Source organism: Homo sapiens, chromosome 1 (assembly GCF_000001405.40).
Source record: "Homo sapiens chromosome 1, GRCh38.p14 Primary Assembly".
NCBI lineage: Eukaryota > Metazoa > Chordata > Mammalia > Primates > Hominidae > Homo > Homo sapiens.
In genome coordinates, this window is record NC_000001.11 from 244025157 (window position 1) to 244041754 (window position 16598).

At 39.8% G+C, this 16598-nt stretch overlaps 1 long non-coding RNA gene across 1 annotated transcript in view; it reads left to right on the forward strand.

Annotated features, from left to right (window-relative positions):
- LINC02774 (long intergenic non-protein coding RNA 2774) overlaps nt 1-16598 on the forward strand; it is a 129916-nt gene that overhangs the window by 107755 nt on the left and 5563 nt on the right. Inside the window, exons 8-9 of the long non-coding RNA NR_033883.1 lie at nt 2080-2278; nt 16271-16399. This is a non-coding gene — a long non-coding RNA (long intergenic non-protein coding RNA 2774). The remainder of the gene's footprint in view (nt 1-2079; nt 2279-16270; nt 16400-16598) is intronic.

A 16598-nucleotide genomic window follows, 5' to 3' on the forward strand; every position in this document is an offset into this window, starting at 1 on the left:
GGTGCATAAATCCTATAACATGACATCCTAGGAAGACTTGGGGCAGCACTCATAAGCAAACTCATCGATGTTTCTGCAGTGAAACATACGAAGATTCACTCAGTGAAATAAATAAAGACTCCAAATAGCCTCATCTCAGTTCAGGACAAGCTTTGATGCCATATGAGTTTGTTCTTCACTTACGAAAACAAACAAACAAACAAATCTCTTTGATTGTCAGAGCTCTTGGATTCCCTAATACAGAGGTGCAAATGTGGGTGTGCTACCAATGCCACGGCTCTGTTGGTGCTCAGCTGAGCTGGGCATGCCAATATGAGCTTTACTCCCACTAGCAGTGCTCTAGTGGATCCTGCTGGCCCTAGAAAATCTTCATTCTAACTTTGGCATATCTGAGTCATTTGCTGTCATGTAGTTAGCCAAAGGCTCTGAGAGTCTTCTGAATTTGAGTTCCCTAAACAGCCTGTACCCATCGCTCTTATGGAGGTCGGCCTAGGAATGTTTTCTTTTCTGCCTTCTACCTTGGAGTATTATGGAGAATAAAGTATTTGTATTCTTGGTGTTTGGCTTCCCAGGTAGTTCATGAATTTTTTTACTTTTTTTAAGAGGAAAATGTTGCCCAGGCTGGAGAGCAGTGGTTACTGATAGGCACAATTATAGCACACCGCAGGCTTGAACTCCTGGGTTCAAGAGATTCGGAGCAGCAGGGACTACAGGTGTGCATCACTGCATCTGGCAATTCATTTCTATTTAACAAACACTTTAATTGCATGCAGTATGTCAGGTACTTCTTTAAGACAGGGACAGTTATGATCTTCATTTTACAGGTTAGATGATGCCCAGGAGGGTTGAGGAACTTGCTCAAGGTCACATAGGTATTTAAGTGGTGGAGGAGGAATTAAAATCCACGAATCTACCTCCAGAGTCTGTGCTCTTAATCATTATATCATACTCCCCTATGAAACACTGGGTTTACAGAAGGTTAAAAAAATGGTACACATGGCCGGGCACGGTGGCTCACACCTGTAATCCCAGCACTTTGGGAGGCTAAGGCAGGCAGACCACTTGAACCCAGGAGTTCGAGACCAGCCTGGCCAACATGGTGAAACCCCACCTCTACTAAAAATACAAAAATTAGCCAGGCATGGTGGTACACTCCTGTAATCCAGTTACTCGGGAGGCTGAGGCACAAGAATCACTGGAACCCGGGAGGTGGAGGTTGCAGTGAGCCCAGATCATGCCACTGCACTCCAGCCTGGGAAACAGAGTGAGACTCTCTCTCAAAGAAAAAAAAAAAAAAAGGAAAAAAAAGGTACACATAAGAGAAAGTTTCTTTAATTTTTTTGAACCAGAAATAAATATGATTTACTCCTTCCAGAGAGTTAAACTGTACCTTGAAAGCATTAACTTTCCATCTGTGGCCACTTCTACCTCAAAATAAGATTCAATATAGATTCTCTATTTTTAAAGAATTGAAAACTAAATAAAAACTTGTTGCCCCAACAATTATATATTGTAATAGAATAATTTGAACTTGAGTCATATTTATAAGGATAAACTGAATTTCTAGAACTTGGGAATCATTTACATTATAAAGAACTTCCTTACTCTCTTCTGTGCATGAATAGGCTTAAAATACAGCAATGACTATTATTGTTCACAATGCTATAGCTGTTACTTGGAACATACGAAGTGCTCTAACATCACAAATTAATTGTTAATGAGAATATTGCTATTGAAGAGTTGTATTGTTCAGAGGGAATATGATTGTTCCATAGAAAAGATGGTGTCTCTTATGTTGTTGTAATCTTGGGTAGATAAGCAAAGCCAGTGTCTGTCCAAGTCATGAGGTACCTCAGACTCCCCTTTCTGTTTTAGGTATGTTTGAACTGAACGCGTTCAGGATGCAACGATCAAAACATATCTTCCCAATGTTATGGAAAAGGAGGATCAAATCCATTTTGATTAGAAATCTATACTCAGCAAATCCATCTGTTTCTATACATTTGTACTTATTTTATCTTCATTTCTTACTAATGAAGTTTCACTTGGAAAATCCCAATCTTGCCTCCACTAAATTAGGAAGAAAAGAGATAGGGATGCGCTGAGGCTGGACTACCCGAAGGCATCGGGGTGTCCAGAGAAGCTGGGCTTGAGGGAGGCAGCAGCTCCAACACCTTAGAGCCTTGGGAACAGTCCCTGTGACAGCCACACTGATTGAGAGGAAAAAGCACAGCGGGAGAAGTTGATCTCTTTCCACTGGGAGATTGATCTGCACTAGGTAAGTCTATTAATCCATAAAGCCTCTTCATCTCTAGAGTCTGTGATTTCTTGTCTTCTCTAAAAGTCCTAGGCAAAACAGACATTTATTAATGGTATGAAACAGGCACTATATTGCAGTACAAAACGAAAAACGACCTCCACGTCTCAGTGCCTTTTCTCACTCCTGAGGTCCGCCGCAGGCTGGGTGACCCTCCCTGGCACCCGCCCTTCATGCTGTAACCGGTGCAGCTCTGCCGTCTCGGCAGGAGGTTTCCTTGACTGCCTGGGCAAGGGATGAGACAGCTGGAGCGTTGGGCGCTGCCTCTTCGATTCTGACCTGTAGGATTCACAGGTCCACAGTCCATCAGACAGAATTAGTCACAAGGCTCCACCTAAGGGAAAGTGGGGTGGGCAACACTGTCACACTCGTCAGAAAGAGAATCATTTATGCAAAAATGAATAGGTTCCAACCCCTTTCTCTTAGGGTAAACTCAAGGAACTGTAGTGAGAGTGGCGTATTTGTTTGCAATATTATTATTCATAGATGCCAGGATGCATGGAAGTGCTAGAAGGCAGGGCGGTGTTCTGTGCGTCTTGATATCCCTCCTGCCTGCCACAGTACATGGCATGTGAAAAAAAGCTCAACAAAGCCTTAACAACTAAGCTAATGAATAAGGTATTCTATATCCTTCACTTCCCAAGGCGTTTCTTTTTTTCTTTTTTTTTCTGAGACGGAGTCTTGCTCCATCCCCCAGGCTGGTGTGCAGTGGCGCGATCTTGGCTCACTGCAATCTCCACCTCCCTGGTTCAAGTGATTCTCCTGCCTCAGCCTCCTGAGTAGCTGGGATTACAGGTGCATGCCACCACGCCTGGTTATTTTTTTTGTATTTTTAGTAGAGACGGGGTTTCACCACGTTGGCCAGACTGGTCTCGAACTCCTGACCTCAGGCAATCCACCCGCCTCGGCCTCCCAAAGTGCTGGGATGACAGGCGTGAGCCACCACACCTGGCCCCAAGGTATTTCTTATTGCTCTTCCTTCCCAGCCCATGCTAGGTATATCACATCGAAAAGGCATTCTGTGTGTCCAAATCACTTCTGATTTGCTGCAATTCATCTTGATGAAATGGGAAGCTGTGGTTCTGCAGCTCTGGTAACAGTTAGGAAACTGCCAGCAAAGCAGTAGGAACTAAGCAAGGTGCATTTCAGTGTTAGCTGAAATTGCTGCTATAGTTGGTCCCTTACCTGACTCTCTTTCCTAAGAAGTAAATTGGTCTTCAGATAAATTTTGCCTGTTAGATTCCTTGGCCAAGTCTTTAGCCAAACCAACCAATAAGCCATCCTTTGAATAGCAAATGCCCTGATCACCATCAGTGGTTATGCTCCTGGCTATTTTTCTCATAATAGCAATGGGCCTGTGTTAACCACACATTGTCTCTCCTTTGGTTCCCTGGGTGGCGGATGGCACTCCCCTTGTGAGGCGGTTTGGCCCTGCAGCCTTTGCCTGGATAATGGCCTATCTTGATATCTTGGCTTTGGACTTCTTAGAGCACACTCTCATGAATGAGCAAATGGTCCTTGGCCAGACTCCTAAAAATAACTTGTTTTGCCTGCTGCCTCGACATCTGACTGCAAAGTTGGTGCTATGTATTATTAAGTAAATGTGAATTTAACAAAAGTGTGCTGTGGTTTATGCACTGTTAATCTTACGCTGTGCTTTGAAACAACGTCAGGGTTTCTATGGACTTTTTTGAGTTGACATCTGAATCTGGGTATACCAGAGCCCTGGGTTCTTTTACTTACCCCTGTGAAATCTCTTATGCAGGGGTTGGCTTGGTTTTCTCCTCAAGGCCTGGTGTCATGCAACAAAAACTGTGTATGTGCACGGTCATATTTTCATCTGTGTGCAGGCTGCCCCCTTGGGGTTTCAACATTAGTATTTGCTGATTTTTCCTGCCATATACATTTAAGTGCAAAGAGTTTCATTTAGACGTAGAAAGGCCTGGAGGTGTGAGGAGGTGTAATTTTTCAGTAATGAGCTTAGCATATATAAAAAGGTAATGGGCAGTTTTATAAGGACTATTTATAAACTACTGAAGGGGAAAAAAGCACACTCCATTCTTGTTATTAGGATGAGGCAAGCTAGACAAAAAGACTGTTCATTCAAGTTTAACTTATCTATATCAAAAGACTCAGAATAGATGAAAATCGGTATTTCAAAAAGACAGCAGGCTAAATAAAAAATTCCACACAATGTTCATCCCAAGTAGTCTTTTTTTTTTTTCCTTTCTGTCTGTAGCTTGAGCACTGGAGATAATAAAGGAATCTGAAAAATGATAATCTCATTTTTTAGTTATTTGATAGTCTCACAACTGTAATCCAATGTTTTGACATTGACTGGCCTCTTGTTTGAAAGTATCTTTGGTTATAGACCAGGTTGTTCTGAACTGGAAATGATGTACTTTCTGGGTTTTCTAAAGAAAAAAAATATTAGGCATATTTAATCATACTCTAACCACTTATTTACCAAGGAATGCATTAATTCTTTTAATGGTGTTAAATGAGTATCCAGACTGTTACGGTTTCTGTAGTTGTTAATAGTCCACCTGCACTTATTCAGTCTTTCTTTTTTTGAGTGTTCATATGTTCACAGAAACTCAGTCCAGATGGTTAGGAATTGGATAAGTTGTTTAAGACGGTGGCACGTTATAAAGATACCCAGACTAGTCCCTGCATCTTAGGGGTGGGGACAGAGACTGCAGTGAGGTTAAGCATTTCACTCATGATCACACAGTCACCGGTGACTGAGGACATGAATTTAGTCTTTTCAGATCAAGCTGGTGACCAAAGGCTGTGACAACTGCATTCAAAGCCCCAAGTAACAATATGCTTCGTTCAACTGCAGAGGTAAGCCAGGCCAGGGTTTCTTGATCTTTGACGAGCAACGGCTTCAACAGGGAGGCTTTAAAAGGCACATATCCTCGGATCCCATGCCAAGACCCTATCCTTGGAGATTTGGGTTCAGTAAGTCTGAGGTGGGACCCTGGTACCAGTATTGTGGGAAAAGCCCCCAGGCGATTCTGATGAGCATTAAAGGTCGTGAATTAGTGACCGAGGCCCGTGGTCAGATCTACAAGCCTGGACACATGGAGAAAGATTTGGGGGAAAGAAGGGATTAGTCTAGTTCTGGCTCCATACCAGAAGGCACAGGAGGGCTGAAGAATTCCTGATGGTTTTCCTACAGCTCAGAGCCACGGTCAGGCAGCTGAGCAATCCCTCCTCCTTCTCTAAGCCACAAACCTCTGGCAGATACTTGGTGATTTCCTTATGGTAGACGAGAGTGGAATAATTACATGTTAGGAACTTTATCCTCTACATCTCTTTAGAGATGCTAGGGCTCCCTGTGGGCTGCAGGGCTAGGCATTCTCAGGCAACCTCTCATTCTTTACCAGAAACGAAGACCACGCCCCGCCTCTCAAGTCTCCCTCTTGGTGATCTTCTTCTCCCAGTCCTGCGGGGTCCTCGTCATTCACATTCGTGGTTCAAAAACTATTTCAGTGCCTGCTACGTGCCAGGACTGTTAGACATGTGACCCCAGTTATTCTAAACCCAAATAACCCCCAAATGGGGCTTCCTTGAAACATACCAAAAACAAATCAAAAGTCTTTTCATTTTTAACTTCAAATTGTTTCCTGGTTTTAGAAAAGTATTTTTGTACAATTTCCTCTTGTACCCTAAATAAACATCAATACTTCAGATTTTAGTTAATAGAAAAATTTTAAATTCATTTTTGTATTTCCAGTGAACAAGCCAAAGAGTTAAATCTTGCTTCATTTTCCCCCTAAGAAATAGACAAATCTCCTAAAATTTACCTTCTGCCTATCATATGCCTCAAAACTCTGAAAAAAAGCTGAACTTCAAAAATCAAACCATCAAAGGAAACAACAGTGAACAGTAACAACATCTTCTGGACAGTTCTGAAAATAGAGGCTGTAAAATTTTTATAAAAATGCAAGAAAGAGTCTCATGATAAAATGTGATGGATAATAACTTGCCTTATGATGCAGGCCACAAACTCATTATTAAGCCGAAATGGAATTTTAAACATTATTCCTTTTGCATCTATCATTTTTATCTCAATCATGTTTCCTGAAATGGATTGTCTTTGGTAATTGTCCAGAATTTGTGGGAAACGTTGGTTCAATAAAACCATCGTGATTGATTTTTTGGAGGAAAATAGAATTCTATCTATATATCTGTCTGTCTGACTGTCTGTTTTTGAAGTGTCTCACCCTGTTAAAAAAAATACCCTAAATGATCTTATTTTGCCCAAGTATCAGGTAGCTTTTTATAACAATAGCCTATAAAATACACAACAGTAGTATAAAAGGAAATGAAAAAGCTCTATCTGCCTCAATGATCCATTGTTATCTCTAGCAATATGCTCCCAGACTACAAGTTAAGTGAATTTTTTTTTGAGACAGGGTCTTGCTCTGTCTCCCAGACTGTAGTGCAGTGGTGCAATCAGCACTCACTGCAGCCTGTATCTCCCAGGCTCAAGTGATGCTCCTGTATCAGCCTCCCAAGTAGCTGGGACCTCAAGTGTGCACCACTATGCCCGGCTAATTAATTTTTTAAAAAAATTTTTTGTAGAGATGGGGTCTTGCTATGTTGCCCAGGCTGGTCTCAAACTCTTAGCCTCAAGTGATCCTCCTGCCTCAGCCTCCCAAATAATACTTGACAATGATGCTGAACTCTGAATAGAGAAATTATGAGCGTGAGCCACCATGCCCTGCCTCTTTTTTTTTTTTTTTTTTTTTTTTTTTTTGAGACGGAGTCTCACTCTGTCACCCAGGCTGGAGTGCAGTGGCGCAATCACGGCTGACTGCAAGCTCCGCCTCCCGGGTTCACGCCATTCTCCTGCCTCAGCCTCCCGAGTAGCTGGAACTACAGGCGCCCGCCACCACGCCCGGCTAATTTTTTGTATTTTTAGTAGAGACGGGGTTTCACCATGTTAGCCAGGATGGACTCAATCTCCTGACCTCATGATCCAGCCGCCTCAGCCTCCCAAAGTGCTGGGATATAAAGCCCTATGGAAGCTTTCCTTAACGTCCTCTATAGATGTTCAAAAATTATGCCTCATCATGGGAAAGCACACAAACAAGGAAGAAGGGCAACAGTAGGAATAAGAAGAACAGTAGCTGGCCAGGGCTTGAGATCAAAGCCACACCATTTCTGGAGGCTCATCTTCCATTATTAGAAATGTCTGAGTCTTAGATGCTTCAATATTAAGATGACATAAGAAGACGATTTTGTGACATAGTGAGTTGTATCCTTGAGCATGTGGACCTTGTTAAGTGGGCCTTTAGAAAATAAATTTAAAACAGGGATATTGGAAACTATATTTTCTGTTTATTTACTAGGTAAGAGAAGGCTATGCTCTTGTTTGTTCTTTCTGGGAATACAGCTAGACTAAATTTCTCAGACTCTCTTGCAGTTAATTTTGGGCCATACAACAGAGTTCTGGCCAATAGCTTGTTGGTAGAAGCGTCAAATGCCACCCTAGGCATGGACCATGTTAAATCTCCTTGTATAATCCTATGTGATATCTATTTCTATTCTGTGGGGACTTGGGAGGCCATATATGGAAGATGATTGGAGTCTCCGGTGGCCGAGATGGAAAAAGATTGGTCTCTGAATAATTGCATGGAAGAGGGTCCCACATTCTTCTCCCCGCCAACCAGAACACATTGGGCTAGTCTATCCTCAGAAATAAACCTTTCTGCCCTTTGATCAGCATCTCCTCATTCTCCTCACCCCTGGTAACTGCCATTCCATTCTCTGCTTCTATGAGTTCAACTTTTTAGAGTCCACATATAAGTGAGATCACGCAGCATCTGTCTTTCTGTGTCTGCCTTATTTCACTTAGCATGACAGCCTTTCAGTTCATCCATGTCACAAATGACAGGATCTCCTTTTTAAACGCTGACTAGTATTCCGTTGTACATATACCATGTTTTCCTTATCTATTCACCTGTCGATGGACACTTAGATTGATTCCATACCCGGACTATTGTGAATAGTGCTGCAATGAATATGAGAGTGCAGATATCTCTTCAACATACTGACTTCATTTCCTTTAGATGTAACCCAGGAATAGGAGTGCTGGATCATATATTAGTGTTATTTTAATTTTTTTAGGAACCCCCCCACCCTGCCATACAGTTTTCCATAATGGCTGCACCAATGTATATCTCCACCAACCTTGATTTATTTATTATGGAAACGAAGTTGGGAAGGATGCAGTCCTGGGCTGGTATGGTAATTTTAGGAAGTCATTAAATTAAGAAACTTCCTCCAGCTCTCCTCTCCAGCCTCCTTATAATGTGGCTCTCATCCTTGTGGTCCATCATGTCAGCCCAAGCTCCAGCCATCACGTCCATATTCCAGACAATAGAAAGCAACCAAGAAGAAAGGGTCAAAAGGCATATTCATGGTCTTTTAAGGAAGCTTCCTGTAAACTGCACAAAACACTTCCACGTGCATTTCATTGTCCAGAATTTGTCATAGGGAGCTATCTAGCTGCAAAGAAAGCTGGGAAAGCTTTACTTGGGGGCAGTCATGTACTTGAGAGTTTTGTCACTAAAGAAGAAGGGGAGAACAGCTATTGGGGTAGGGGACCAGAAGACTTTGCTACAGTTAATAACTGCAAGCTTCCTACTGTGAGGGAAAAATTAGCGTATACAAAATGCAATTTTAGACACACACATGTGTTCATGTATACACTTCTTTGTTTACACTTAAACATATGTAACATATAGAGCTTGCCATTTTCACCCTAGTCTTAGCCCATCAGAATTCCTCTGTAGTCAGTGAATTAACTATTCTCCAGTGTTTTGGGCATAAATGTAACTTTACCTGATGGCAAAAGAAAAATAAGGATACTTTACATTTTGTGTATCAGCATGCATAGAAATACAGTCATGTGCCACCTAATGATGTTTTGGTCACCAATGAACTGCAAATATGATGGTCCCATAGGATTATGAGCTAAAAACTTCCTATCACTTAGTGACACAGCCATTGTACCATCATAGCACAATGCATTACACATTTTTCCAGTGATGTCGGTATAAACAAACCTACCTGTGCTATCAGTTGTATAAAAGTACAGTACATGCATTTATGTACAATAAATAATACTTGATAATGATACTAAACAACGATGTCATTGATTTATGTTTTTACTACACTATACTTTTATTATTATATTTTAGAGTGTACTCCTTCTACTTATTTTTTTAAAAAAAAGTTAACTGCAAAACAGCCTCAGGTCAGTCCTTCAGTAGGTGTTCTAGAAGAAGGCACCGTTATCACAGGAGATGACAGCTCCACGTGTGTTACTGCCCCGAAGACCTTCCAGTGAAAGATGATGTGACATGGATGATCCTGACCCTGTGTAGACCTAGGTTAATGTGTGTCTTTGCATCTCAGCGTTTCACAAAAAAGTTTAAAAAGTAAAAAACGAATTTTAAAAATAGAAAAAAGCTCATAGAATATGGATAGAAATATTTTTTGTACAGCTGTACAATAAATATGTTTATGTTTTAAGCTAAGTGTTATCCCAAAAGAGACAAAAAGTTTTTAAAAAATTGAAAAGTTTACAAAGTAAAAAAGTGACTGTAAGCTAAGGTTAATTTACTAGTGAAAAAAAATTTTTAAATAAATTTAGTGTAGCCTAAGTGTACGTACCATGTTCACAGAAGGTCTACAGTAGTGGACAGTGACGTTCTAGGCCTTCGCATTGACCTGCCCTCACCCACTGACTCACCCAGAGCAACTTCCAGTCCTGCAAGCTCCATTCATGGTACGTCTCCTATACTGGTGCGCCATTTTATATCTTTTATTCCTTATTTTTACTGTACTTTTTTTTATGTTTAGAAACACAGACACTTACCATTGTGTTACAATTGCTTACGCTATTCAGCGTAGTAACAAGCTGCACAGATTTTTAGTCTAGGAGCAACAGGCTACTACACCTTATAGCCTAGGTGTGTAGTAGGTTATCGCATCTAGGTCTGTGTGAGTGCAGTCTATGTTGTTTACACGATGACAAAATTGCCTAACGATGCATTTCTCAGCACGTATACCTGTCATTAAGTGATTCATGGCTGTAAGTAATTACATGCATGTGTCAGTATAACACGCTCTGCTATTGTTTCAATGTAAGCACGGCAAGTATTGTGCTCATCGCATTGGACTTAGAGATGGATATTCCCTATTCTGAGTCTGTTTATGTCAGTGCATGTGTTTGAGCGAATCGCAAGAACTTGCTAATACCTTCCATTTCTATAGTGCCTCCTACTTTATAGAATTGTGGAGACATTCTGTTAGAATAAATATAAAACAGATAACTCTCTTTACATTGGATGTGTGGTAGATACCTTTCTTTATCATGTTTCCTGTGTACTCTATTTCACAGGCACATAATACATACACCAAATTTCCTCCCTATTTTCTATGACATCAAGGACCATGCCCCACCCCCATGTAATATTATATTATTTTGTTTTAAAATCGTATCTATCCTTCTCCCTCATTCCCCACCCACCTATCTGGGTACACTCCAACATTGTATTTGTCCATGCTACTACCCCCCTAATATAACAGAATAAGGAACGTTTCATACCAAAGATTTAGGATTTTCAGTACATTCAGCGATCAGGTGTTGGAAGCATCCAAAAAGTGACCTCTAGAAAACTAGGGCTAAATGGTTTACATTTTACACTGTCTAAACGCTTCACAAAGGACTATCTCTTAATTTCCCACTAACCCTATAATTAAAGAGCATGCTATCATCGTCATGCCTGTTTTTACGGAAGTGCAAACTAAGGCTTGCCTAAGTTAAAGTACAGCTACATAGCGAGGGGCAACCTGACGCCAACTGCACATGGTCTGCCCCCAAAGCCCATGATTCGAATCACGATGCCATGATTCGAATCATCAGCATGGCCCTGATGATCGGTATCCAGGGTCCCCACAGAGCCGCTTTGCCAAACAACGCACGTTTGGGGAGCACCGCTTTATACAGCGTGCTCTGCTCGGAGACACAATCCCTCCCTGGGAAGGCCTACAGTCTAATTCGGAAAATAACGTTATCATATAAAATGACTGGAATACCAAATACCCTATCCACAAGAAACCACTGATGTCCAGGCCGAGGCGGCCTCGTGACTGTAGGAGAATTAAGAATCGTGGGGGATTCGTGGCTGCTGACATATTGTTGCAGACCACCTTGCCTCACTATAAAAGCTGAACTAGTTTGAGGCAAAGGTTTTTTGGGTTTTGTTTTCAGGCAAATCGTGTCTTGCCATGAATTAACCACCAACCCTCTTCATGTGCACTCACTCATCCCCCTGCCACCCCAGTCATTTATTTGCAATCACGTTCGCATATTCTGGGCACTGGAAGTTGGTTCAGTTAACAAGGAAGAAGGAAACTGATAAAGATATTGTTAATGGATCTCTTTGTGCATAAAAAGAACTCCCATCTTCCCTCCCACATGCTGTCCTGAATTCCCCTTTTCCTTCTTCTCAAAGTTTTACTTTTTCTCGGAATGTCTGTGTGTGCCATATGACAGTGATTTTCTGTGGTAATTGCTTTATTCTTCAATAAGAACCTTTACAATAGCAAACTCCTACAATACTTATGTGTAAATTAGGGCTGTTCCAAAGCAAAAAATTGAAACTTGCACGTCGTCATTTTTGATAAATTAAAAAAAAATCCCCTTGAATGTGAGAATGTTTGTCTTGTGCCAAAAAAAAAAATTAATTCTTTTCTGCATCTAGAGTTTCATGCGTTTGGGTTTACATTACAGGATCTCAGAGAGAATAGATCATTAATTCATTTCAACACAGTCAGCTTACCAAGAAAAAGTGTGTTTCATTCTGCTTTATACAAAAGTCGGGTGCAATTGTATAGAAATGCAATTTTACAATTAAAGTGCTCTCGGGCTTATGAACACTGTTCATAAGTCGGCTGGCTGTGGAGGGTAGAGGGTGGCTGCGTCCCCAAACAGCAGGGCCCAGCAAGAGGGAAAAGCCACACACCTTCTCTGAGGGGCCCCCCAAAAAATGATCGCGGTAGCAGTAGCTTTATTTTGCTCACTTGCAATAGCAACAACAAAATGATGCCACAGACGAAAACTGTCATGTCCCACCCGCTCCATCTGTCCTGTGCTGTGCACCCTCATTCTACAAATTAATCTTTCACACATTTTTTAACAAAAAAGTGTTCATGTTATAAAAGAAAAAAAAACAAGGAAAACAGAAAAGGCTGTGTAGAAAATAAATTAAATTTAAATTTGATGGCAGTTATGACTTTTTTTATTGACTATAAGAGCAAACAGTCACATCAAATTGGTGCCACTGGCATATAATTAAAACTACAGGGCACCCTTAATGATCTCTGACAATGATCGCGTGTGTTTTTTTTTAAATATAGCACGCACATTTTGTCCAATTTGGGCTCTTTTTTCCTGTTGCTTTTGTCCTCTTTCTGAGTGGATATTATTCATGAACTGAGTCTTTATTATCTATTTGGCCATCTGCATAGCATTGGCCATAGTCCCCTGTATTGTAATTTTGAGTGAAAATAAGGACTGCTGGAGATTGCAACACTAAAAATAAATAATAGTAATAACACGCTTTAAGAACTCAGAAGTAAAAAGCATAAAGAAAAACATTTGGGCTGGAGGTGAGCTTTGGAGATATGTGGCTTGAAGGTGGGGGTGAAACAGAAATCATTCCATTCTCTCATTCAGCATAATAGAAGCTGGATATTCACTCTGACCAAACTAACATCTAGTTGCCTTGATAAGATAATAGGCGATTCTGAAAGCGATGCTTCCTCATGCTGGATTGTCTTTGAAAGAAAACAAATATTTGTTCTCTTGGTACTCTCTTGCTTCAGAAGTCCACAGACTTCTTCGTGGAGGGACAGCCAGTAGCACAGCCTCCTTTGGCTATCAAGATTTTAGCTACTGAATATTCATCTTTATCACGTATTAGGTCCCTTGCTTTTAGTTTAGTGAAGGCAGATTTTTTAAAAAGTTAAAATAATAGAACACATTTCCAGTTAAACAAAATATGCATGGGGGAAAATGAACTAACTGAAAACTAGTATAATTGTTTTATTTCTAAAACATTGTCTAATTTTATTTGGTTTCTTCCATTCTTCCCCCCAACCCTTTGGATCTTTTCTTTTCTTTCTTTCTGAAATTCTCTTCATCAGGGTTTGCTTGCCTTTTTTTCTTTCCACTTGTCAGATCTTCCCTGCAGCCTGTGGAAGGCCATCAAACCAGCTGATTGAAAGATGAATATGAGCTAGCTAAGAAACATCTCCCTGAGCAGAGTAAATATGCAAGACTATCATATATGAAAAGAACATTTTTGTTTCAAGTGGAAATGTATAGTAGTCTATTTGATTTTTAATGTTCCTTGATTTTTTTTTGCTCATAGTTTATTCCTATTAAACTTGAGGAATATACAATTAAAGCTTTGCTTCCTCTTTCTCTCTTTCTCATGCTTTCTCTCTCTCTTTTTCATGCACACAAACTGCTTGGGCTTACTACCAAAGCAGAATGAATTCTGTCAATTATCTCATTATTTAGAAAATGAGTTATTTACTTGCATTAAATTATGGTTTAAAATAACTTTCTTGTTGTATTTCTCTTTCCTTCCAAAATTGGTTCATGTATGTATACAGTAATAGCCTGAATGGCATAAAATTTTCAAATTTGGAAAGTTTGAGCTAATCACTTTAATATCCATATTGACTTACCTAAAAATAATGAAGAAGTTCTAAAATCAAAAGAGATAACCCAGTTTCCAAAATAGCCACATGTGTATTTGCTCATGGCGGATAAAATTTAGGGCATATGTATTTATTTATTTTCATACCTATTTAACTTGTATAGAGAGGGTATGTTGGTCATTTAAAAAAATGATTAAGAGTTAATTTATCACTTTTAAGACTAATTTAATTCCAAATATTCCAATAGCCCCATAATACTAAACTTTTGTATCTAGCATTAATATTAACTTTAATTAACATTATATGTTTATATATTAATATTATATCTGTTAGTTACCTCCATGAGATCTGCAGAAAATAAAAATGTAATGATATTTTACACACCTGTTTTAAGCCACATCATTCCATTTTCTCTAAATTGGTGTGATAATCATTGATATTTTAAAACTTATCCAGATGTACATTTAATAATACAGTACAGATTTCTCTTTAACAAACTATATTTCAAGTCTGAGTCTCTAAAAAAAAAAAAAATTCCTCCCCCCAAATAGCAAAATCCATAGAGTATGCACAGTTGACAGTCAAAATTTCCACTCTTCTAACATAAGAATAAAGTGATAAAAAAACATGACCTTAAAAATATTCTTTTAACAATATGATATAATATGAATACTTTAAATAATACTAAAAGACATTATACTTGTGTGAAGTGGTCTGGGCCAATATCACATGCCTCAGTCCTTCCTTTGTGTTGTTCCTCTAGTCCCCACCTCCTGCTAAAGTATTATACCAAATATTATCTGATACTAAACATTAACTCTTAACCATAGCCTACAACTGCCCTGAGTTGAACTAGAAATTCCAAGGCAGAATGACAAACAGGGCCTCCCTCTCCACTCACTCTCATTCTGTGGGAGTTTTAGAGTTGTTTAGGAAAGCAGGATTTGAAGAATGACATCCTAGCATGCTTAGGTAAAGTATGTTCATTCTAGAATATTTCTGTAGCTGTTTGTAAATGTCACAGACTGATCATCTCAGAAGCTATGTAAGAAGAAGGGATCTCAATCAAATGTCTGACCAGATCCCTCCTTATGGCCGTAAGAGTTTAATTTTCATTTAAACAACAATAAATAAAGGCATAAGGGTTTGAGATGAATTATGTAAGCCCTTTAGCTACAACCATTACATTCTGCCACCAAATGAGCTGCTGTTCTCACTTTGTTTTATGGGTTCTGCGTAGCCTGTGTTATTATATCTGCCAAATAAAACCCAGCAAACCATGCAAATGAAAATATAATCTTTTCTCTCTCATAGTCACCGGATGCACCCAAATATATAATTTTATCAGTTCCTCTGCACCAAATTTACTGCTACTAGGACCCTACTGTCTTAATAGGACCTACAGAAAGGGAAAACATTTCTTGCTTGGAGGTATCTTCGTTTATATCCACCAATAGCATATGTCTGTAGTTGAAGCTACACTTGAAAAGTCAGGAATAATTCCTTTCATTATATTTTTAGCTTGTTTATGTGGTTCGATTGAGATCATGGATGTATCCTCAAGGATAAACACCCAAATGACTATGTGTTTTCAAAGCATGGCAGATTCTAATTTGTTTAAAAACAATGGAGTTTTTTCTTTTGATTTCAGAGTGGCCTAAATATCTGAAGAAAAATGACTTAGTGAATTGTTGATGAACTAGCTCTGCAACTCACCAATCTTAATTTGGGGCCTTGGACAAGTCACTTAGCCATTCCATTTCAACATTCTCCTCCAAGTAATGAAAATAACAACACATCTTATGCCTATAAGCGATGTTTGAGGAATAACTCACCTCTAAAATGCCTCAAGGATGAAACATCTCTTCTATATCCTAAAGAATCGCTATGCTTCTCCCAGGAGTAAAGTCTCTACCACATCCATCTGGGATATTTCTAGGTTGGGTCAGAGTGCACCCCCAAAAAGTAAATAGATGCTTTTCTGGTAGTCTACATAATAAGCTGTCCTTCATCCCAAGTTTAAAGGGAGCAGTTGAACATGTAAAGCATTGCTAATCCCGCTGGCCTTGGAAAAATGCAAAGGTGTAAGTTATTTCTTTTCATTATCTCCCTTCCCTTTTCCCCGCCTTCCCCTTTCTTTTCCTTCTCTTCTGCCCTCTCCCTTCTTTCCTTCTGTTCTCTCCCTCCCTCCCTTTCTAGACTATTTCTTGAATGCGTATTATGTGCCAAGCACCATTCTAGGTGCTAAGGATACAGCTATTATCATAGAAGAGTCCCCATCCTGAGGAAGCTTACATCCCACCAAGGAAGATAGGAAACAAAAAATAGGTGGGTATCTTTGATAATGGGAATTTTCCTGGTTCACTTTATCAAAGTAGTTCAAGAGTGTTTCCTTCCAATGCTAGTTCGTGCATCTGGTTATGAGCCAGGCCAGATGTTTTGTACAGAGGCTGATGTAATTCCAACCAGGCCTGATGCATGATAGGGATTCAGTGGCTGTTGAAGGAATGAATTTATTTCTGAAATG